This window comes from Homo sapiens, chromosome 3, assembly GCF_000001405.40.
Source record: "Homo sapiens chromosome 3, GRCh38.p14 Primary Assembly".
Classification (NCBI taxonomy): Eukaryota; Metazoa; Chordata; class Mammalia; order Primates; family Hominidae; genus Homo; species Homo sapiens.
The window spans coordinates 40889410-40914454 of NC_000003.12; the positions used below are offsets into that span (position 1 = coordinate 40889410).

Sequence of the window (25045 nt, forward strand, 5' to 3'; positions counted from 1 at the left end):
AGAGGATCACCTAGTCTACATTCAGATCCCAAAGACAATGTAAGAGGGACTGCAAAGGGGGTTCCTCTGCCCCCTCTCCTCTTTTTCAGAGCTGTCTGCTCCCTAACAGCCAATAAGAAATGAGAAATTCCTGCCAATGCAGCTATATACTTTAACTCACACTGCAATTTTTGACGGCATTTCTCACTCTAGGAAAGATTCCAATTTGACAGTGGCAGGTGAGATAAACCCTGAGTTATCAAATTGTATTTCCTGGATCTGTCTAAACAAATTCCCTTAAAACCTGCTGAGGAAATAGTTCTGCTATTTCCCCAGTAATCTGGGTAGAGTTGATGTCATTCCAAACTCAGAGATCAGTCAGGGCCATTCTCTTCTGACTGTTTAAGGTGCCTCACTCAAAGAACTCCATGCTTTAGAGATGTTTTCTCTGTAAGAAATTAAAGAGATGGTGCCCATGAGCCAGCCAAGCAAGGGCCTGCCGTTCCATGGCTGGATAAGTACACTGGAGGGTACCGAGGGCTGTGATGTACCCAAGTTATGGATACTGACTGTTGAACGTTTTTCATGCCAAGTATACATAGCTTACTATTTCTTATGGAATTAAACATACACCCTTCCTTCTAAGTTTGCAGCCACTATTATCTTACTCTGCCATAACTACTCATCTTTATTAATATTGCTCTAGTGTATTTATCTTATTGTGTACATTGGTACAACGGGGCACCAATGAACTGCAAATTAACAACACCACATAGATATAACAGTGCAGCAACAGCAACCAAAAAGTCATTAAAACAAGAGAAAATAAACAAAACCTAAGTCTCTAGGACCTTAGCAGACTTTAATTCTAAATATATCAATTTCTTTCTCCCTGTGCCAAAGTTGTCTAGGAAAGTCCACATTATAGCCAGCTGTCTTGCAAAATCCAAATTTGGATCAATGCTCAAAAAGGAGATAGAAATAAATGGAAGTCTGAATCAACTTAAGCCCTCTCTTCCATTAAGAAAATCTTTCATGTATGCTTTCCTGATGAGGGTAGGGTCAATGACAATGTCTTTATTTGCCATATATGCTAACTTTTCATCCCACCTCAATTTTACATTTCTGCACAAGGGTATCTCTCCCTCCTCTGATTGTGTGTTTCTGCTTAAAACCTCAAATACTACTCCACATCACCCTATAATCCCATTAGAATGATCACTGAGCTTCGTGTGTAGATTGCCAAAAATGTCCATTATTATTTCTCTTTCTCTTTTTGTATCCACACCCCTTTGCAACATGACTTTGCTGCCTTTCCAATCAAGAGACAGAATTAGGCCGGGTGCAGTGGCTCATGTCTATAATCCCAACACTTTGAGAAGCCAAGGGGGGTGGATCATTTGAGGTCAGGAATTTGAGACCAGCCTGGCCAGCATGGTGAAACCCGTCTCTACTAAAAATACAAAAATTAGCTGGGCGGTAGTGGCATGCGCCTGTAATCCCAGCTACTCTGGAGGCTGAAGCAGGAGAATCACTTGAACTCGGAGGCGGAGGTTGTGGTGAGCCGAGATGGTGCCACTGCACGCCAGTCTGGGCAACAGAGTGAGGCCCTATCTCAAAAAAAAAAAAAAAAAAAAAAAAAAAAGAATTAAATTCCCATTCCTAAAATCTGAGCTGGCCACATGACTTTCTTTGACTGATAAAATGTGGCAGAAGTAACACGTTAAAGTTTCAAGCTGAGGCCCCCAATAAGCCTTGCATGCCTCACTCACCATCTGAGGCCCCTGGCATCTGCCATGTGAACAAGCCTGGGATAGCCTGCTGGACCATGAGAAACAAGATAGGGCAAAGTCACCCCAGTTATCCCAGCATAGGCCCCAGATATGTAAGAGAGTCTGATGAAGATGATCAAAGCCAGCTCTAGTCCACCTACTAGCGGACCACAGATGCGTGAGTGAGCCTAGTGAAGCGAGCTAAGTCAGGCCAAGATCAAAGAAATGCCCAGTCATGGTTCACAAATATTTAGTTGTAATTTCAGTGTTTATATTTACCAAATTATGCAAACACAAAAACAAAGTGAAATAAATCTGTGCCATTCCCAAGAGCATTCCTGGAATGATAAATAAGATGAATTTATACCACATTTCAAGCATAAGATAAATACACATACATGTATATAAACCCAGTCATGAATGTGTGACCAGGGACAGATGGCTCACCTCCCTACCTCCCCACCCCTTCCATGACAGGTCCTATGCCTAGCACAGAGCTGAGCACACAGCAGGCCTTCCACATAGACAGGGTAAATAGATATGGCTTCCCCACTTGTCTTACAGAAAACTGAAATGGATCTTTAACAATATACCAGAACAAGATCAATTCTAAATAAGATTATGCCTTCTTGACCTTTTTTCTTTTTCTGGCCTGGGCATAATGGCTCACTTCTATAATCCCAGCACTTTGGGAAGCCAAGGCCAGAGGAGCACTGGAGCCTAGGAGTTCAAGACCAGCCTGGGCAACATAGTAAGACCTTGTCTCTAAAAATATATTTAAAAAAAGAAAATTTCCATTTTTATGCTCACTCACTCAGGAGTTCTCAACTTCTTTTGCTGTCCCCGGACCCCTGAGGGACAAACACTGTCTTAGATGATGGTGGCTCACCGCAGGATTGCGCAGGACCCCTCCTCCCATGGTAGGAGGAGGTGCTTATCAGAAAAAGAACATGGGTGTTGTTGAAAGGCCTCTTCTCCCGACGATGTAATTCTGATATACCCCCTCCACCTGGAGAATTACCAGGCCTAATATCCTAGGGTGAATGGTCTGTTTCTAAGCCTTCGCCAACCAATAAGCTTCTAGACCTGTGCTGCCTTATATGGCCTCTAGCCACAAATGGCTATTTACATTTAAATTACTTAAATAACATTAAAAATTCAGTTTCTTATAGCACATTTTAACTGCTCAATAACCACTTGTGAACAGCACAGAGAGCATTTTCATCCTGGGAAGTTCAACTAGACAACTCTTCTAGTATGAATGCCTTTCCATAGGTCTCCGCAGCCAACCCACCCTACATGAAATCATCTTATTTTCTAATCCTCAGCTTATCTATTATCTTTTCACTTTCATTTGACTTATCTTTTTCATGGCTGCCCCTTGTGCACCTTTGCAGCATTAGTTCACGCAAGCCATCCTGTGCACCTTCCCCCAGGCCCTGGATGTCGGCTTGGGTATTTTTCTTTCTTTAAGAGCACTCTCAAAACCCACATTTACATTTAAATGAAGGTCCTACTTCAACCAGACAGAGGTATGCCTAGAAATAAATCCATATATTTCAGGCAGGGGAATTATCTTCATTCTTATGCTATAACCTGTCTGGACTCCATTAGAAATGACTACAAATCCACGGTTCCCTGTGGCTTCGGGAACAAAGTGCTGATGTAGTCTCTCAGCTAGGAATCCAGATTGCAAACCCTGCTATTCTTTCCTGGGCTGTGCTGTATCTAACACAACCAATAGAAGTTTAAAGCTGAGCGATAAGTCTTGTTGCCATGATTGGACATTGAGCAGAAAACCCAGACCTTGAACTGTAATGGGAGCATGTGAGCCCCATTACAAGTCAAGGGTAAGCCATCTTTCTCTCTTTTAGGAATTGGCTGTGCTGGGGATTTCCAAATCTAAGAGGGGTCATCTTGACCTCCTCCTGCCTTTGGGAGACCTTGTTCATCTCTAAGCAAACAACACAAATCTGCCAACTCAGAGAGTAGACTTTATAATTTTAGCAACTTGAAGGTGGGGGAGTATAATTAATGTTTCTGGAAATGAGAGAATAAATAAGACCACTCATAGGTTGGGTTCCTCTGGAAGCAGACAAAACAAGAATTTAAGTGCAAGTAATTTATATGGAAGATGATCCCAGGAGGCCCCAGCACAGGGTGAGAAGGTGAGCAAAGGAAAGGAAGCCAGTGCAGAAGGTATTAATGGGCAGGTTACAGCTGTAGTCAACTGTGGCTCAATCTACCAGGGTACCCTGGAAGACAACACAGACCATGCTTCAGTGGTGCTGGGATGAGGAAGCTGGGGTATATATCCTCCAATTCCCAACTGTCATTTGTTGGCGACATTAGCTACCCATACTTCTGCCCCATCCCATGAGTAAGTCAAACACAATCCTGTGGAAAGAGAAAGCCCACAGGATAGTTTCAAGTGCTGTCAGCATATGTGAGTGGTGACACAAAGGTGCTATAGGTGGGGCACCAATAGCTCTGCCATACCCCTTTCCTTACTACAATGGAATTTCATCCCTTTCCTTAAGCAAACAGGAGGTTTGTTTCATATCACTTGGATAATTTCAAAAATCATCTTAAATTATTGTGCATGGTGAGAACCATATTATGTCATTCCCACCCCTCGAGTATTGAAGTCAACCTGGGCCCTGGAAGGTTACAGTGGGTACAGGGGACATATGCTGCATTGTGCTGCTCAGCTTTCCTCTTTCCATCCCATGTCATTCTGGCGGGATGGAAATGCCTGTGTCTGGCTGCAGAGATGTAACCTGCCCATTAATACCTTCTGTATCTGGATAGACAGAGACTGAATCCTGGTGACATATGAACCCCTGGCCCCTGCTTTGCCCGAGTCAGTCCACTCCTGCCCGTCAAAGCACACAAGCCAACAAATGCCCCTACCTGTTAAGGCTGAGTTGAATTGGGCTCCTGCTACTTACTTGAAAGAGTCCTGTCCAAACAATGGGTTTGAGAATATTATGCTGTTTGTTGTTTTGAGGACAAATTCTCCCACCATCAGACTGTGATGACATTAGACAGAGAGAAGAGCAGCCACTGCATTCACCATTGGAATGTCAATGTCAGCACAGTGACACTGTGCCTTTGCTCTGAGGACCATGGGGAAGGTTATGTTTGCCTGAGCAACAGTTTGCTTTTGTTTTGTGGACACTAAATTGTACAACTAATCTGTTTCCCTCCTTGCATTGGCTGCTAAGAAGCCCCAAGAGAATTTTTCTTCTATTATTTTCTCCCCTCATTGCCCAATTTCTTCACATATTTTATCTTCTGTACCATAGGCATTTGTGTACACCACTGCAAACCTGGGTGTTTTTTTCTTTTTCTTCTTTTTCTTTCGAATGAGGAATATTCGAAAGAAATATTCAAAAGCAGATGCATTTCTACCCTTTGACTTCAGCTTGTCACTGTAATGAACTAATCCCATAATGAACTAAGCACAGCAATGTTGAGCTTCTCTCCATTTTCCTGCCTCAGGGCTTCCTCCAAAGCCACCAGGACAACCCATACAAGTATAGCCCAGAAGAGTGGGTGAGTTGACATCCCCCAGAGAAACCCTCAGTCAAAGGGGGATGGGAATTGGCATGGAAATGCCCCAGCCTCCTATTCAGGGGGACAATTTTGAAAGCGTTCTACACAGTTTCTTAGAGAGCCCCCAGAGAGATTGAGCTTCAGGGAACCATGGCAATAACCAGCTTTGATTTGCTTCAATAACTCGCCCTTTATTGACTTTTCTTCCTTCTCTCGTCTCAGTCCCCCACTTGCTCACTTCTACTCCCTGGAATCACCTTTCAAAAATTTGCCTGCACCTAAGCTGATGTTTCAGGCTGTATTGGAGAGTACCCAAACCAAGAAAGAAACAAATAAAATGAATAAATAGATAAATGAATGAATAAATAAATAAAATTAACAACTTTTTTTTCTTAACCCATCCTAAAAAATGTGAAATGAAACAGCATTAGATTAAAAATAGTGCAAATTTCATGTATTGGGCTGTAAAAATGGCACAGAGAGGGTCCAAGAAGGTCCCCATGTGAGGTGCAAGAATCATATCCCTTCAGCAGTGAGGGACGTGATGCAATTCTGGAGTGAGGCAGTTACAAGGGACAGTTGGACATATTGCTGCCTCTTGATTGCAGTATAAAAGAGAAACCGCTAAGGGGAGGAGCTCCTTCTAAACTGCAGGCTTTCAGATACATTTATATATACATACCATGCCATTATACTAAAGAGAGTTACGTTAGAATAAAAGAAATACAAACAAACATGAGACTCAAAACTTAAACGACATTAGCTAATTAGTTCCACATCTAACAGTTTGGTGCAAATATCTGGCAGGATATACCATTCTCTCTCTGTATTTTCTGAAGAAAATTTCCATAGTATTTGTTCTCAACAGTGTAATTTGTGAGCTGTTCACACCAACCTGATGGTTTGCTTCAATTAAAGCTTCTTACACTCACAGAAACAATTACACTCTCAGGATGGGGGTGGGTCCCCTCCTACCCCCAGACTGGGAGCAATGCCTCCCTGCTCTGAGACTATCACAAGTCCCCTCCCTGGTTCAGGCAAATGATCCCTCTGAGCCTCAGAGAAGTCACCTGGAGGCCTAATTACCAGGGACCTGGTGCGGAAGCACAAAAGTGTCGGCTTACAGGAGCAGGACCAAGCCCAGAATTCTCTGTTTCCACAGGAAGAGAACACAAGTTAAATGTAGCCCATGGAGTTTGGCTTCACCTCAATCTCTTTACAAAATTTTTTTTTTTTTTTTTTTTTTTGAGACAAGGTCTCACTTTGTCACCCAGTCTGGAGTGCAGTGGCAGAAACACAGCTCATTGCAACCTCAACCTTCCTGGCCCAAGCGATCCTCCCACCTCAGGATCCCACCTCCCACCGCGCCACCAAGCCTGGCTAATTTTTTGTGTGTTTTTGTAGAGACGGGGTTTTGCCATGTTGCCCAGGCTGGTCTTGAACTCCTGGACTCAAGAAATCTGCCTGCCTCGGCCTCCCAAAGTGCTGGGTTTACAGGGGTGAGCCACCATGACCAGCTGAAAATATATATTATATATGATATAGATAATATATAAATATATATTCTATATAACATATATTATATATCATATAATATATAATATATGATATTCTATATATTCTATATAATATATAATATATGATATATTATATAATACATATTATATAGAATATATAATTATATAATACATATTATATAGAATATATATGTTTATATATTTATAATATATAATATATTTATAATGTTCATAATATATTATATATCATATGATATAATATATATTATATATAACTATATATAATATATGATATATGACATATATAGTATATATTATATATCATATAATATATAATATGATATTATATATCATGTATTATATGATATATATTATATATCATGTATTATATGATATATATTATATATATAATTATTATTTTTAAATGAGAAATTAGAGTCGAGAGAAAGAGAATGGAGGAGATGGTTCTCCTGGTGCAGGCCTCCTCAAAGGGGAGCTGTGAGGCAGGGAGGGACACTCTGGCCAAGAAGAGACCTGGGCTCTGCCTTGGCCTCAGTGTCTTCACCTGTCATTGCAGGAGTTTGCACCAGCTCGCCGCAGTCCTGGGCCACAGAACAGAAGGCCCTCCAGAATTAGGGGCTTGTATGTTGGTGAGTGAATGAGGCTCTGCAGGCTCTGACAGATGGATTTAGCCAAATACATGGTCACTGAAGGGTCAGGGCTCTGAGACTGGCCTTGGCAGATCCCAGATCTGTCCTCTCTATGTCTTCCCAAAACGTGGGGGAGGAGCAGGTGACCACATGGTTCCTGAGGAAGGGCCCCCACTGGTGGGCGTGCGGTACTCCCAGGCCAACTTTCCCCTGGGTTCCCTCGAGGACTATCTGATTCAGCGAGCTCCTGGGAAAGTCTTGCCTTGAAGAAATCTGAAACAAGAATTGTAAAAATAGAGCCAAGAAACTGTTCGCTGCAGTGATGACAGAGGATATTATTTTAACCGTGAAAGACCCTGGCTTCGAATGCCTGCCTTACACTGAGGGGGGCTTGTGTCAAATGCGAGTGGACCTTGGGCCTTTGTTTCCTCCTGTGGTTGAAGCCAGGCAGGTACCACATGACTCCCTGAACCACCTTTGCCACAGCCATTTCCCTGGCTGGGGTGTGAAAGCAGGGGTGGGGGCTCAACTCCAGGGGTTTGAGGGGCAGTAGACTCAGGGGCTGAGAAAGCCCATTTGCTTCCAATAGAAGATTCCCTGGGCCTTCCTAACCTGAGAGCAGTTTGAAGCAAGGAGGATACCAGGGAGGCTCTCTGTGTGTGAGGATGGGAGCTCTGGTTCTGGGTAACAAGGCGTCATCAAGCTTGAGGCCAGTGGTGTGCCATGGAAGGAAGAGACACAACACTCTTTGTTCATGTGGAAACAAGAAAAGGAGGTGTCAAAATCCCAGGCTGCTACAACCTGCTGTGTGACCTTGGAAAAGCTTGTCACCTCTCTAGTCCCCTGAGATTTCTCACCTTTGGCAGTGTTCAGTGAATGCTCCAGAAGAAAAGGGAGTGGCAATGGGCCACACAACTGCCAGTGTACAAAGGCTCAAGGGGCATGCTGGTACTCAAGACAGAAGGGGCAGCTGGCATGAGGGGCAAGTGACAGGGTAGCATGGGGACTACACGCAAACACACACACAGGCCTTCACTCTGCAGAAGCTCCCTGACCAGTAGAGGCCAACTCTGACCACATAGCTCAGAAAAGGAGGAGCAGGGCTGAGGTGGTGGGGCAGGATTATGTGGAGGCCCAGAGGCTGCCACCGAGATATAATATGGGGAGCTAACTCCCTTCCGTTTCCCTCCAAACACTCAGCACCACTGCTCCTAAGCACTGCTCAGTGTCTGCTATCTCCTGGAAGAGCCAAGAAAGGAGTCAGAGGAGGGACCACCCTGCCCAAGAAAGAACAGCACAATTCTCTTTTCCCCTGGGGACAGCAAAGCTCAGTGCTTAAGAGTTTGGGTGCTGGGGGTCAGGCATAAGTGGGTTTGAATTCAGGCTCTGGGACACTCTGAGTATTCTTGGGCATCTTAGGGATAAGATGAGCTTCATGCCTGGTTTGTGACACAGGGAGATTAAAGGGAGCAACTTCAGAGGGTTAAGTGCCATGATGCAGGTATCCTGGGTGTTCCAGTCTGACAAATAGTAACTGCTCAGTAAATGCTGGTTATTATTATTATTGACCTCTGAGGCACCCATGGTGCCCTGCACATAGAAGAGGCTCCCTAAGTAAATCCAGCATACAGGGGACAAAGGTGTCAGGCCCCAGGAGGCTGGTTCCATGTGGTCTTGGGAAGGGAGGAGCCTATTCATGAAAATGTTCTAGCTCTGCCCTATGTCCCTGTGGCCCTCACTGTGTCCCCACCCAACCAAATGAATTGAATCAAGAGGATAACAAGGTGGCCCTCCTGGACTCAGGGTCTCAGGCTGAAGGTGGAAGGGGAAGGAAGGGGATTCTAAGCCCTTCCAGTGCCCACCCTTGAGAAAGCGTGAAACTGTAACAACACAGAGGCTCCAGAGTTAGAGGCCTGCGTTTGAATCTCAGCTCTCTCAATTTCTACCTTGTGTGACCTTGAGACTTAATATCTGTGAAATGGAGATAATTACTCCTAACTTTGGAATTACCATGAGAATTATATGAGATCATAGATGGATAGTTCCTGGGAGATGTTCAATAAACTTTAGTTTCCTTTCATTTCAAGGATAGCTCCATGAAATCTTTATGTCTCTTTCTCTGTCGTATCTATGATCATATTTGGTTTTACCTCTGCACAGAGTCAATTGCCCGGCTTCCAAAGCAAATATCCTCTTTTCATCTGTGTCGAGCCCTATTCTACCCAAATCTCTCTCTCTCTCTTTCTGTCTCTCTTTCTCTCTCTCTCTCTCACAGCCTTTTAAAAGAAAATGTATTAATACTTCTCACTCCTAGCCAAACACACTCAAGCAGGAATGAAGTTTCCAGCAACTGATGAAAACTGCAAACCAAACCCCAGCGTTCCCTTCCTTGTCCCTTCCTTCCGTCGTGTACCTAGATGTCTAATTGAATTCAGAGGCTGTCTGCCCAACATTCGGATTGCAAAGGAATGAGTCAGGCTCTAGGAGGCTGCTTCTCTGCAGATCTCCCATGTGCTGTCCTAGACATGTCCCTGTGGAAGACTGCCAGAGTCGCAGATAACACCTTCTAGGTGGAAGATGGGTTCAGTTATTTGAACCTCTTGGGTTGCAGTCTATATGCATAATGCAAAAGTCAGTGGACTATTCCCTAAATCCTATTTCAGGGATTAGTCAGCTACAGTCATTCAAACTAACACACAGACAGCTCTGCTTGACTCAGCCCACAAACATCCATCCATCACTCACTCAACAAACACATAGTGGAGCCACTGCAATTGTCAGACAATAGACAAACAAGCCCTGTCAGCTCCATCCTGTCTCCTTTCCATCCTTATGGCCATGCCCAAGCCCAGAACATCATCATCTCTTATTGGTCCAGGACAACAGCCACCAAATAGATTACCACCTTGAACAGCTTGTTAGGCCCCATACAGTCTCATGGTGCCTCATGTTCAAGCCTCATCTCCAGAGCCTCTGGTCATATATCCGACATTTCAGTGAAGCCAAGCTTCTTGTAGCTCCCACATATTAGTTTTGTGGAATGTATTAGTTATCTAATGCTGCATAACAAATGACTCCAAAACTTATGGGCCTAACACAACAATTTATAATCCCTCACTGTTTACATGACAGGGATCAGCTGGGAAGTTCTCACTTGGGCTTTCTCATGCAGTTGCAGTCAGATGGTAGATGGAGCTGAAGTCATCTGAAGGCTCAACTGGACCATATGTCCAGGATGGCTTATTCACTCACATGTTCAGAGATTCAGCCAAGATAACCAGAACAGATAACCCGATAGGATAGCCAGCTAAGATAACCAGAAACAGAGCTAATCATCTCTCCATATGGCTAGCTTAGGTTTCTTCACAGCATACAGTCTTAGAATAGTTGGAGTTCTTATACAGTAGCTGGCTTCCCCCAGTATGTGCATTTCAAGAACTATATATTACTTTTTAAAGATGTATTCCTTGAACTATTGCATTTCCACTGGATTTCTGAGACTATTACTTGTTCACTTCACAAGGCATTGGCCATGAGTGAAGTGAGGGAATTGCACTCACCTAAAACAGAAGAGCCAGTCCATCCACTGGCAAGCAGCAGTTACAAGGTAAACACTAAGGCGCCCGAGAGAGTTGGGGTCATTTAAGAATTGATTATGTCTTTATTGCTTGATGAATATGTAGTTCTGAAGTTGGGGCCTTGTATTTTCAGGATTTCTGGAACATATTTGACCTGACATTCTCATCTGACATCAGAACATCTGAAGTCTTGCTTCTTCATCTGATATCAGAACCAAATCCACTTGCTTTCCATCTCACTCAAAATGGCATAATATTGAAACTCCACCTAAGATAGAGCTAATGACTAGGGAGCATCTAGTTTATTTGGGAGGTGATAGCATGAGGAGAGTGAGGTAGGGAGGAGGAGAAGCCAATAAGGGCGATGTTAAGAAGTGAGGTGCCACTGTGTGCAAGTGGGGCTCAATTCCATTGGGACCTCCTAAGTGTCATCAAAAATAACTTCTACAAGATAGAGTGCAGAAGGATGGTTACCAGAGGCTGGGAAGGTAGTGGGTGGGGTGGGGGCAAGTGGGATGACTAATGGGTACAAAAAATAGAAAGAATGAATAAAAGCTAGTGTTTGATAGCACAATAGGGTGACTATCATAATTTTATAATAATCAACAATAATTTAATTGTACATTTTAAAATAACTAAAAGTATAATTGGAATGTTTGTAACACAAAGGATAAATGCTTAATAGATACCCCATTTATCCTGATGTGATTATTACATATTTCATGACCATATCAAAATATCTCCTGTACCCACATAAATATATTCACCTACTGTGTACTGACAAAAATTAAAAATAAAAAATCTTTAAATAAAAAATAAACATTTCCTACAACTGTCCATCCAAAGGATGGGAGTCAGGCATTTATCCACCAGCTTGCCACTAGCTGGGGGTTGCCCCTGAGAGTTTATCCATACACTGAAGCTCAGGGAGAGAGGGAGTCTGGCCTTGGAGAGGATTGGGGCAGAAAGCTAAAGAACTTGGCAGTGACTAGATGCTGTCAGGTCAGGTGAACCTGAGTTTGCCCACAATCATTCTCTGTAGGTGTCGCTGAAGAGGTGGCCTGGAAATGTGACGTGGGTCACTGGAGGCATCTGGTACAGTTTTCTTAACTACTTCTTTCTATCCAGAGGCAAAGTTGTCATCTCAATCCTTGTTCTTATAGCTTACATGAGGCCGTTTAGCCAGCTCATTGCTAAATGACAAACAGCCAGGATTTTTTTTCTGGAGTCCCCTGATTCACACTCCTTTCATTTCTAAGAGGAATAAGTGTAAAGGTTTGCCCTTCCTTTACCTTGAGGCCCTGTATGAGAAGGGTTTTTATTTCTGAATGACATTCTTCTCAGAAAAAGGGTCCATGACAAGCAAAGAAGCAAAGGGAACATCCCCACATATTACAGGGAATGAGACTGAAATTTGTTTGCTCAGGGATGTCATTTTCACACATCCCTGTGAATGGGGGAACCCCAGGTTCCCCTTCCTCCTTCATGTTTAGGGGAATTTGCTTTGGAACTGCCTTCCCACCTCCCCCAGTCCAATTCCATGGCCAGGGGAAATCTAAAACCCCCTTTCAGCCTCCTGCCAAGTCTTGGGAGTTTCTGTTCTCCTGGGTCCACTGCCTCATAGGCTCCAGCTTCCTTGAATGTTTTATAACACATCAATACCAATGAGAAACTCAAGCACATGTTTTGTCCCAACAACAAACAATTGTTCACATGTAGCATATGTAAATTTGGTGAATTTTTCTGAAGGTTGTGAGGGCAGACAGCAAGAGGCAGGTCTTATCCCACTTAAAACACCTCCCTGGTTCCTTCTTGAATGCCCTGAGAATTCCAAAAACTCCTTTTGTTACCGTAACTCTCCCTCTCAGGAAATCCGTCTACTGGACACCTTTAGAAAGTTTTTTTGAACAATTTTTTTATTTTTTTATTTTTATTTATTTATTTTTTTAATTATTATACTTTAAGTTTTAGGGTACATGTGCACATTGTGCAGGTTAGTTACATATGTATACATGTGCCATGCTGGTGCGCTGCACCCACTAACTCGTCATCTAGCATTAGGTATATCTCCCAATGCTATCCCTCCCCCCTCCCCCCACCCCACAACAGTCCCCAGAGTGTGATGTTCCCCTTCCTGTGTCCATGTGATCTCATTGTTCAATTCCCACCTATGAGTGAGAATATGCGGTGTTTGGTTTTTTGTTCTTGCGATAGTTTACTGAGAATGATGATTTCCAATTTCATCCATGTCCCTACAAAGGACACGAACTCATCCTTTTTTATAGCTGCATAGTATTCCATGGTGTATATGTGCCACATTTTCTTAATCCAGTCTATCATTGTTGGACATTTGGGTTGGTTCCAAGTCTTTGCTATTATGAATAATGCCGCAATAAACATATGTGTGCATGTGTCTTTATAGCAGCATGATTTATAGTCCTTTGGGTATATACCCAGTAATGGGATGGCTGGGTCAAATGGTATTTCTAGTTCTAGATGCCTGAGGAATCGCCACACTGACTTCCACAATGGTTGAACTAGTTTACAGTCCCACCAACAGTGTAAAAGTGTTCCTATTTCTCCACATCCTCTCCAGCACCTGTTGTTTCCTGACTTTTTAATGGTTGCCATTCTAACTGGTGTGAGATGGTATCTCATTGTGGTTTTGATTTTGCATTTCTCTGATGGCCAGTGATGATGAGCATTTTTTCATGTGGTTTTTGGCTGCATAAATGTCTTCTTTTGAGAAGTGTCTGTTCATGTCCTTCGCCCACTTTTTGATGGGGTTGTTTGTTTTTTTCTTGTAAATTTGTTTGAGTTCATTGTAGATTCTGGGTATTAGCCCTTTGTCAGATGAGTAGGTTGCGAAAATTTTCTCCCATTTTGTAGGTTGCCTGTTCACTCTGATGGTAGTTTCTTTTGCTGTGCAGAAGCTCTTTAGTTTAATTAGATCCCATTTGTCAATTTTGGCTTTTGTTGCCATTGCTTTTGGTGTTTTAGACATGAAGTCCTTGCCCATGCCTATGTCCTGAATGGTAATGCCTAGGTTTTCTTCTAGGGTTTTTATGGTTTTAGGTCTAACGTTTAAGTCTTTAATCCATCTTGAATTGATTTTTGTATAAGGTGTAAGGAAGGGATCCAGTTTCAGCTTTCTACATATGGCTAGCCAGTTTTCCCAGCACCATTTATTAAATAGGGAATCCTTTCCCCATTGCTTGTTTTTCTCAGGTTTGTCAAAGATCAGATAGTTGTAGATATGCGGCGTTATTTCTGAGGGCTCTATTCTGTTCCATTGATCTATATCTCTGTTTTGGTACCAGTACCATGCTGTTTTGGTTACTGTAGCCTTGTAGTATAGTTTGAAGTCAGGTAGTGTGATGCCTCCAGCTTTGTTCTTTTGGCTTAGGATTGACTTGGCGATGCGGGCTCTTTTTTGGTGCCATATGAACTTTAAAGTAGTTTTTTCCAATTCTGTGAAGAAAGGCATTTGTAGCTTGATGGGGATGGCACTGAATCTGTAAATCACCTTGGGCAGTATGGCCATTTTCACGATATTGATTCTTCCTACCCATGAGCATGGAATGTTCTTCCATTTGTTTGTATCCTCTTTTATTTCCTTGAGCAGTGGTTTGTAGTTCTCCTTGAAGAGGTCCCTCACATCCCTTGTAAGTTGGATTCCCAGGTATTTTATTCTCTTTGAAGCAATTGTGAATGGGAGTTCACTCATGATTTGGCTCTCTGTTTGTCTGTTGTTGGTGTATAAGAATGCTTGTGATTTTTGTACATTGATTTTGTATCCTGAGACTTTGCTGAAGTTGCTTATCAGCTTAAGGAGATTTTGGGCTGAGACAATGGGGTTTTCTAGATATACAATCAGGTCGTCTGCAAACAGGGACAATTTGACTTCCTCTTTTCCTAATTGAATACCCTTTATTTCCTTCTCCTGCCTAATGGCCCTGGCCAGAAGTTCCAACACTCTGTTGAATAGGAGTGGTGAGAGAGGGCATCCCTGTCTTGTGCCAGTTTTCAAAGGGAATGCTTCCAGGTTTTGCCCATTCAGTATGATATTGGCTGTGGGTTTGTCATAGATAGCTCTTATTATTTTGAGATACGTCCCATCAATACCTAATTTATTGAGAGTTTTTAGCATGAAGCATTGTTGAATTTTGTCAAAGGCCTTTTCTGCATCTGTTGAGATAATCATGTGGTTTTTGTCTTTGGTTCTGTTTATATGCTGGATTACATTTATTGATTTGTGTATATTGAACCAGCCTTGCATCCCAGGGATGAAGCCCACTTGATCATGGTGGATAAGCTTTTTGATGTGCTGCTGGATTTGATTTGCCAGTATTTTATTGAGGATTTTTGCATCAATGTTCATCAAGGATATTGGTTTAAAATTCTCTTTTTTTGGTTGTGTCTGTGCCCGGCTTTGGTATCAGAATGATGCTGGCCTCACAAAATGAGTTAGGGAGGATTCCCTCTTTTTCTATTGATTGGAATAGTTTCAGAAGGAATGGTACCAGTTCCTCCTTGTACCTCTGGTAGAATTCGGCTGTGAATCCATCTGGTCCTGGACTCTTTTTCATTGGTAAGCTATTGATTATTGCCACAATTTCAGAGCCTGTTATTGGTCTATTCAGAGATTCAACTTCTTCCTGGTTTAGTCTTGGGAGGGTGTATGTGTCGAGGAATTTATCCATTTCTTCTAGATTTTCTAGTTTGTTTGCATAGAGGTGTTTGTAGTATTCTCTGATGGTAGTTTGTATTTCTGTGGGATCAGTGGTGATATCCCCTTTATCATTTTTTATTGCGTCTATTTGATTCTTCTCTCTTTTTTTCTTTATTAGTCTTGCTAGTGGTCTATCAATTTTGTTGATCTTTTCAAAAAACCAGCTCCTGGATTCATTAACTTTTTGAAGGGTTTTTTGTGTCTCTATTTCCTTCAGTTCTGCTCTGATTTTAGTTATTTCTTGCCTTCTGCTAGCTTTCGAATGTGTTTGCTTTTGCTTTTCTAGTTCTTTTAATTGTGATGTTAGGGTGTCAATTTTGGATCTTTCCTGCTTTCTCTTGTGGGCATTTAGTGCTATAAATTTCCCTCTACACACTGCTTTGAATGCGTCCCAGAGATTCTGGTATGCTGTGTCTTTGTTCTCGTTGGTTTCGAAGAACATGTTTATTTCTGCCTTCATTTCGCTATATACCCAGTAGTCATTCAGGAGCAGGTTGTTCAATTTCCATGTAGTTGAGCGGCTTTGAGTGAGATTCTTAATCCTGAGTTCTAGTTTGATTGCACTGTGGTCTGAGAGATAGTTTGTGTAATTTCTGTTCTTTTACATTTGCTGAGGAGAGCTTTACTTCCAACTATGTGGTCAATTTTGGAATAGGTGTGGTGTGGTGCTGAAAAAAATGTATATTCTGTTGATATGGGGTGGAGAGTTCTGTAGATGTCTATTAGGTCTGCTTGGTGCAGAGCTGAGTTCAATTCCTGGATATCCTTGTTGACTTTCTGTCTCGTTGATCTGTCTAATGTTGACAGTGGGGTGTTAAAATCTCCCATTATTAATGTGTGGGAGTCTAAGTCTCTTTGTAGGTCACTCAGGACTTGCTTTATGAATCTGGGTGCCTCTGTATTGGGTGCATATATATTTAGGATAGTTAGCTCTTCTTGTTGAATTGATCCCTTTACCATTATGCAATGGCCTTCCTTGTCTCTTCTGATCTTTGTTGGTTTAAAGTCTGTTTTATCAGAGACTAGGATTGCAACCCCTGCCTTTTTTTGTTTTCCATTTGCTTGGTAGATCTTCCTCCATCCTTTTATTTTGAGCCTATGTGTGTCTCTGCACGTGAGATGGGTTTCCTGAATACAGCACACTGATGGGTCTTGACTCTTTATCCAATTTGCCAGTCTGTGTCTTTTAATTGGAGCATTTAGTCCATTTACATTTAAAGTTAATATTGTTATGTGTGAATTTGATCCTGTCATTATGATGTTAGCTGGTTATTTTGCTCGTTAGTTGATGCAGTTTCTTCCTAGTCTCGATGGTCTTTACATTTTGGCATGATTTTGCAGCGGCTGGTACCCGTTGTTCCTTTCCATGTTTAGCGCTTCCTTCAGGAGCTCTTTCAGGGCAGGCCTGGTGGTGACAAAATCTCTCAGCATTTGCTTGTCTGTAAAGTATTTTATTTCTCCTTCACTTATGAAGCTTAGTTTGGCTGGATATGAAATTCTGGGTTGAACATTCTTTTCTTTAAGAATGTTGAATATTGGCCCCCACTCTCTTCTGGCTTGTAGAGTTTCTGCCGAGAGATCCACTGTTAGTCTGATGGGCTTCCCTTTGAGGGTAACCCGACCTTTCTCTCTGGCTGCGCTTAACATTTTTTCCTTCATTTCAACTTTGGTGAATCTGACAATTATGTGTCTTGGAGTTGCTCTTCTCGAGGAGTATCTTTGTGGCGTTCTCTGTATTTCCTGAATCTGAACGTTGGCCTGCCTTGCTAGATTGGGGAAGTTCTCCTGGATAATATCCTGCAGAGTGTTTTCCAACTTGGTTCCATTCTCCCCATCACTTTCAGGTACACCAATCAGACGTAGATTTGGTCTTTTCACATAGTCCCATATTTCTTGGAGGCTTTGCTCGTTTCTTTTTATTCTTTTTTCTCTAAACTTCCCTTCTCGCTTCGTTTCATTCATTTCATCTTCCATTGCTGATACCCTTTCTTCCAGTTGATCACATCGGCTCCTGAGGCTTCTGCATTCTTCACGTAGTTCTCGAGCCTTGGTTTTCAGCTCCATCAGCTCCTTTAAGCACTTCTCTATATTGGTTATTCTAGTTATACATTCTTCTAAATTTTTTTCAAAGTTTTCAACTTCTTTGCCTTTGGTTTGAATGTCCTCCCGTAGCTCAGAGTAATTTGATCGTCTGAAGCCTTCTTCTCTCAGCTCGTCAAAGTCATTCTCCGTCCAGCTTTGTTCCGTTGCTGGTGATGAACTGCGTTCCTCTGGAGGAGGAGAGGCGCTCTGCTTTTTAGAGTTTCCAGTTTTTCTGTTCTGTTTTTTCCCCATCTTTGTGGTTTTATCTACTTTTGGTCTTTGATGATGATGATGTACAGATGGGTTTTTGGTGTGGGTGTCCTTTCTGTTTGTTAGTTTTCCTTCTAACAGACAGGACCCTCAGCTGCAGGTCTGTTGGAGTACCCTGCCATGTGAGGTGTCAGTGTGCCCCTGCTGGGGGGTGCCTCCCAGTTAGGCTGCTCGGTGGTCAGGGGTCAGGGACCCACTTGAGGAGGCAGTCTGCCCATTCTCAGATCTCCAGCTGCGTACTGGGAGAACCACTGCTCTCTTCAAAGCTGTCAGACAGGGACATTTAAGTCTGCAGAGGTTACTGCTGTCTTTTTGTTTGTCTGTGCCCTGCCCCCAGAGGTGGAGCCTACAGAGGCAGGCAGGCCTCCTTGAGCTGTGGTGGGCTCCACCCAGTTCGAGCTTCCCAGCTGCTTTGTTTATCTAAGCAAGCCTGGGCAATGGTGGGCGCCCCTCCTCCAGCCTCGCTGCCGCCTTGCAGTTTGATCTCAGACTGCTGTGCTAGCAATCAGTGGGACTCCGTGGGCGTAGGACCCTCCGAGCCAGGTGTGGGATATAATCTTGTGGTGCGCCATTTTTTAAGCCTGTCGGAAAAGCGCAGTATTGGGGTGGGAGTGACGCGATTTTCTTGGAGCCGTCCGTCACCCCTTTCTTTGACTAGGAAAGGGAACTCCCTGACCCCTTGCGCTTCCCGAGTGAGGCAATGCCTCGCCCTGCTTCGGCTGGCGCACGGTGGGCACACCCACTGACCTGCGCCCACTGTCTGGCACTCCCTAGTGAGATGAACCCGTTACCTCAGATGGAAATGCAGAAATCACCCGTCTTCTGAGTCGCTCACGCTGGGAGCTGTAGACCGGAGCTGTTCCTATTTGGCCATCTTGGCTCCTCAAATAAGTTGTCTGTTTCTTTGAAATCTCCCAAGGGGTTTGTGAAGGTACATTTCAGAAGATTTCGAAGTCCTGAGCGCTTAGCCGTGCAGGAACAATGGTGAGTCTTTAGCCCGATCGGGAGCGGCAATGGACGCCTCGCTGGATCAGGAGTGAATAATTTTTTTATTTAAAAAAATGTTTTAGACAAAGACAGTTCACTCCACTAAAGAGGAGTTTGGTACCAGCTACTAAGTAATTCTACCTAACCCCTTTCATTATTGATGTTCAGCCAGTGTGTTATCTGAGATTCTGTGCCAGCCACTAAGATAATCCCCACCTATCCACTGCATTACTGATGCTCAGCTGCTGTGTTGATTGGCTTATTTACCAGTACTCCTTGCGGCACACCCTTTGCCTGGCCAGGGAGGCCATCCATACAACTTACACCCTGGGTGTGACCCAGAGGACACGGCTATGGTACTAGTACAAGCAATGGAAGCCATTAATTAATAAATTATGAGAATTTACTAAAAAATGCTAAGGTAGCTCATGGAATCCGAGAAACAGGGAAACCCCAGCCCCAGGAAGGCTGGGATCAGAGCTGTGTGGAGTCCACAGCCCTGCAAGTTTGCAGTTTCTTTCTTGTTTTTGTTTGTTTGTTTGTTTTGTTGTTGTTGTTTTGAGACACTGTCTCACTTTGTCGCCCAGGCTGGAGTGCAGTGGTGCAATCTGCACTCGCTGCAAACTCTGCCTCCCAGGTTCCAGCAATTCTTGTGCCTCAGCCTCCCAGGTAGCTGAGATTATAGGCACTCACCACCACACCTGGCTAATTTTTGTATTTTAACTAGAGACAGGGTTTCACCATGTTGGCCAGGCTGGTTTCAAACTCCTGACCTTGGGTCATCCACCTGCCTCTGCCTCTCAAACTGCTGGGATTACAGACATGAGCCACAACACCCAGCCAAGTCTGCAGTTTCACACTACCTCTTTGTCTACAATTAATGTGACTCTGCTGGAAAGACTGCTAGTTCATATTTGTATATATTCTAAACTTCAGATTCCCACAGCAGAGTCTGATTGGGTCAGCTTGGGTGAGGCATCTGCCTGTGGACCTATGAATGATATTTAAGGGCCAAGGAAAGTGGTAGAGACATGGCCATTTCCACAGGTGGGGTCGTGGTAGGTGACCAGGGGAGTGGGCAGGTGTATTGGACTGGGAAGCCAGCTTGGGAAGACGTGCTTCAGCTGTTCATTCATAGTCTGTGTCACACTCACAGGAGGTGGACCCTCCATTCTGAGATCACCATCCTGAGTGGCCCAACCCTTAACCCTATGTGACATTGGTGGTGTTGGTTTTTAAAGAGTATAAGCTGTAGGCTCTAATGAAATTCTAAGCCTTGTTTTGAGGTTTGAAACTTAAGAAGTATTTCAACCTTTCTGCCACTGCCATAGTGGGCCAGGGCACAGCGTCTTAGGTTGTATTTCATGGCACTTGTCCTCTTTGTCCTGTTTGCTGGCTCCCCTCTGGAAATACTCCCTCCTGCTTGTCAAACAGAATCTTTACACTTGCCCTGAGTCCCTTTTTTTTCTTTTTTTTTCTTTTTCTTTTTGAGACAGAGTCTCACTCTGTAGCCCAGGCTGGAGTGCAGTGGCGCAATCTCGGCTCACTGCAACCTACACCTCCTGGGTCCAAGTGATTCTCTTGCCTCAGCCTCGCGAGTAGCTGGGACTACAGGTGCATGCCACCTCGCCTGGCTAATTTTTTATTTATTTGTTTTTTGTATTTTTAGTAGAGACAGGGTTTCACCATGTTAGCCAGGATGGTCTTGATCTCCTGACCTTGTGATCCACCTGCCTCGGCCCCTCAAAGTGCTGGGATTACAGGCGTGAGCCACCATGCCTGGCCCCAGAGTCCTTTTTCTTTTGTAACCGTTTGATGTAGGCAGCCATGCCACTTGTATTCTTCACTGTCTTTTTTTTTTTTTTTTTTTTTTCCCCTCAGCGCTAGCACAATATTTTACAAGGAAATTTGGGAATTAATGCCACAGTTAGCTTAAGCTATATAGATAATTAGGGTTTATAGTTCGAAAAATTGTCCAAACTGAACCTAGATACCTATTTCTTACGAATTTTTTTATTGCTGTGGATTCTTTTAAAATTTAGTGTCAAGTTGTATAGTTAAAGTTAGTTGTTTAAATAAAGTTTGTTTTTGTTTTTAGTGGTAGGGTTTGGGATTTGGGTGGAAAAAAAATAGAAAAAGATGCAGATTCTCAATTAATAAAGCCTGTTATTCTAACCTTAGCCTTTCAGACTTTGCAACTGTCATACTTCTGCCACCTACTGCAGAATGCTCTGATTGATGCTTGAACATTACGAGGTGTAAATAATAATTATTGGAGGCATTTATCAATTATTTTCTATGTGATAAGCACCCTATTGAGCGCTTTGCAGGCTGCATTAATTTCTGTGGGCTGCCATAACAAATTACCAGAAACTTGGTGGTTTAAAACAACATAATTTTTTTTCTCTCACAGTTATGAAGACCAGAAATCTAAAATAAAGGTGTTGGCAAGACCATGTCCTCTCTGCAGCCTCTTGGGAAGAATCCTTCCTTGCCTCCTCCTCTTCTGGTGGTTCTCATTATTCCTTGGCTTATGGCAGGTAAGTCCCATCTCTGCCTCCATCTGCATATGGTCGTCTCTGTATCTCTCTGTGTCCTCTCCTTTTCTTATAAGGACATCAGCCACTGGATTTAGCATCCTCCTTAACCAGTGAGATCTCATCTTTATAGTTAACTAATTACATTTGCAAAGACCTTCTTTCCAAATAAGATCACATTCTGAGGTTCTCAGTGAACATGAATCTTGTTGGGGGGCAGGTATTCAATCCACTCTCACATCGGGATTAGTAGATATAGTTATTTCCATTTCATCAATGGGAAAGGTGAGACCCAGGAGGAGATGAACTTGCCCTGCCACTGAACTGAACACTGAAAGAGTTTGGTTGAGGACTTAGCTCAGTCTGATGCCAGCTTTATTCTCTTTCTGCTGTGTCATGCTGCTTCTAGAAAACCAAACTGCAAACTCAAGTCTAGAAAGTAATGACATCAACATTTATCCATCCATTGGCTTCCAGACCATACCACTTGGAGGCAAAAGATCAGGAGTAAGTAGATAAATTCTCGTAGAATATGAGAATTTTGAGCTCCTACTAGGTGCCAAATTTTTATATGTCCCTTAAATAGCCACAATACCTTATGAAGTGACTATTTGAGGTCACTTCATTCAGGGATGGGATTGAGACTCAAAGATTTTGACTTGCCCAAGGTCACATAGCTAGTGGGTTACCGAACTCAAATTTTGTTTCAGATATTGTGTTGCATTTAAGTTCATGATGAGCTCATCAGTGGAAGTGATTATGCCATGTATTGCAATATTAGGTACTCCATCAGGACCTAACTATCCAACCATCACACAATGGTGAGAGGGCCAGGATCATTCTCCTGTAGGGTCCTAGTTCTAACTAGTGAGGTGACCTTAGACAAGTCAATTTTCTGGGCCTTTGTAATAGGAAGAGCTAGCACTGGACAATGCCTTCATTGCTGATGTTTTGTAAGCATATTGTATAGTTATAGGAAAGTGCCCTTGCCCATATATGTTAATATTTGCTGGAGTGTGGCCAGGGTAATACAAAGTATGTTCTCACTACTGACTTTTCACCCCCAAGTTAATAGTTAACTTTGCCTCCTTGTTTAACTATGCTGTCTGTTGGCTTTGGTCAGAAAGAAAAATTCTGAAACACCTAGTGGAACGGTGCTAACATTTGTCTTTCTTCACCTTTACTTGATGTGGTTTATTTCTATTAAGTTAGGTCAGGATAGCTTTTCAAAAACATGATATTTCAAAAACATAGTTTAGTGTAACACAATTTACCATATAAATCTCTGAACAGATAAATGTTCAAAATAGAAGTATTTTCTTTATATGTTCATGGTATTTTTAAAGGTTAGAGTCATCTATTGCAGCAATTTGGAAAATCCTTCTTTACAGGCTGCTCAGTAAAGGAAAGGTCTATGGCCGCACTGTGAGGTGGGAACAGTAGGAACTTTTTTTTTTTCCAGACAGGGTCTTATTCTGTCACCCAGGCTGGAATGCGGGGACCACATCTTGGCTCAATGCAACCTCTGACTCCCAGGTTCAAGCGATTCTCCTGCCTGAGCCTCTCAAAGTGCTGGGATTACAGGCATGAGCCACTGCATCCAGCCAACAGTGTGAACTTTGGGGTCATGCAAACCTTTGATCAATTTGAGTTCTGTAACCCACTAGCCATGTGACCTTGGGCAAGTCACAATCTCTGAGTCTCAATCTCATCCCTGAATGCACCTCAGAAAGTCACTTCATAAATTATTGTGTCTATAAAACGGACATATAAAAATTTGGCACCTAGTAGGGGCTCAATTAATCCACTCCTCCTCCTCCCTCCTTTAGTCTGTTGTTTTGTGGAGTAAAAATCCACCATTTTGCAAATGTGGTTAGGACCACACGATGTAATTCCCTTCTCTTCCAAGTCTACTGGTGAAGTGGAAAAGGTGAATCTATTTGTCTCATTTTGATTAGGCCTCAGGGAAGGCCTAATTCTGGAAGAAACTCAAGCAGCATGGAATGTTTTCTCGCCATTCAGAAACAGTGCCTACGTTCATACATGTAAATTGGATCTGCCATTCTGTCTCACCACTGGATTTTACCTCGGGTGCCCTGAAATGAAAGGAAGTTTTGAAGGAGCACCGTGAAACTGTCAGTGAGCTCACTTGATAAATCATTGTTGGAACTGGAGGGATTTTTGCTGTGGAGGTAACAAGGGGCCACAGCCTGCTTTGGTGCCCAGCCCAGAAAAGTATAGCTGAGACTTGGGCCTGCTTCTGGTTGCAAATTGTTTACTGCTCAGCACTGTGGGCACATTTCCTTTTGGCTCTGCACAGAAACGACAGATGCCCATGGTCATGCATCAGGACTTGGCCTGTCAGAGAAGCTTGTTTAGAAGAGATTTAGACTATGGAGGGAAAATCATCATGAGGGTGAAAAGGGTTGGGTAAGATTGCTGTGCGCAGAACCCCGGACAATGAAGGCAGGGGCAAGAGAATGGGCTGGGTCACCTTGGCAGGCCTCTCCAGTCCCAGCAGCAAACAGGTAATGAGCCTTTGTATGCTGCTTTTGTGTGCTAGCCCCTGTGCTCCCAGCTGGAGGAATGAGGGTAAATGAGAAACAGCTCCTGCCTCCGAGGTCAGAATTTAGTGCAGAAGACAGCCTATTAGCCATCTCGTGCAACAAGGCAGAACAGAGGCCTCTGCTCCACATGGAAGGAAGAGGGCACAGTTAAGGACAGGGCCTCTGCAGTCCCACAGCCTGGATTCAAACCCTACCTGAGCTGCTACCTAGCTGTGTGACCTTGGGCAAGGTGCCTGACCTCACTGAACCTCAGAGGCCTCACCTGTGAAATGAGGACTATAATAATACCAAACTCCTGGGGTTGTCAGAGGATGGAAAGAGCATTTTCAGAGTACCTGGCACATTGGAGGCACTTTGCTGTTAAAATATAACCCTCATGAAATCTGTTTTCAGTATGAGCTGAGACAGAGACCACATTTTGCAAACTGAAAACCAAGGCATCTGAATATGCCAGCAGAGCTCTCCTGATTTATACACATGTATTTGTGAAGTCTTACAGAGCGTGGAAACATTAAAGCACGTTTGGGTTTAACAGGAGAATCCAAGTATTTGACATTAGCACCTTGTCTGCCTTTTGCCACTGGTTCTTTCCAGCAGAGTCTTATGGGGCTCTTTCAAATGCTGGGGAGGCCTGGAAGCATCCCCAGGTCTTCAGCAAACTTCCTTAGGTAAAATCAGAGCAATGTAGGAAAGACTGGCTCTGTGATAAATCCAGGAGACCAAACGAAAAGACCCAGTGATGCAGAGAGAGCCAGTATGGGTAGAAACAGGTGCTTTCCAGGATAGCTCTCCTGTCTTCCCCACAGGTCTGCTTTC

At 43.2% G+C, this 25045-nt stretch overlaps 1 long non-coding RNA gene across 1 annotated transcript in view; it reads left to right on the forward strand.

Moving 5' to 3' along the window:
- The window catches only part of LOC105377043 (uncharacterized), a 191504-nt gene extending 169551 nt beyond the window's left edge, over window positions 1-21953 (forward strand). Inside the window, exon 3 of the long non-coding RNA XR_007095885.1 lies at window positions 21539-21953. This is a non-coding gene — a long non-coding RNA (uncharacterized LOC105377043). The remainder of the gene's footprint in view (window positions 1-21538) is intronic.
- The last annotated feature ends 3092 nt before the right edge of the window (window positions 21954-25045 follow it).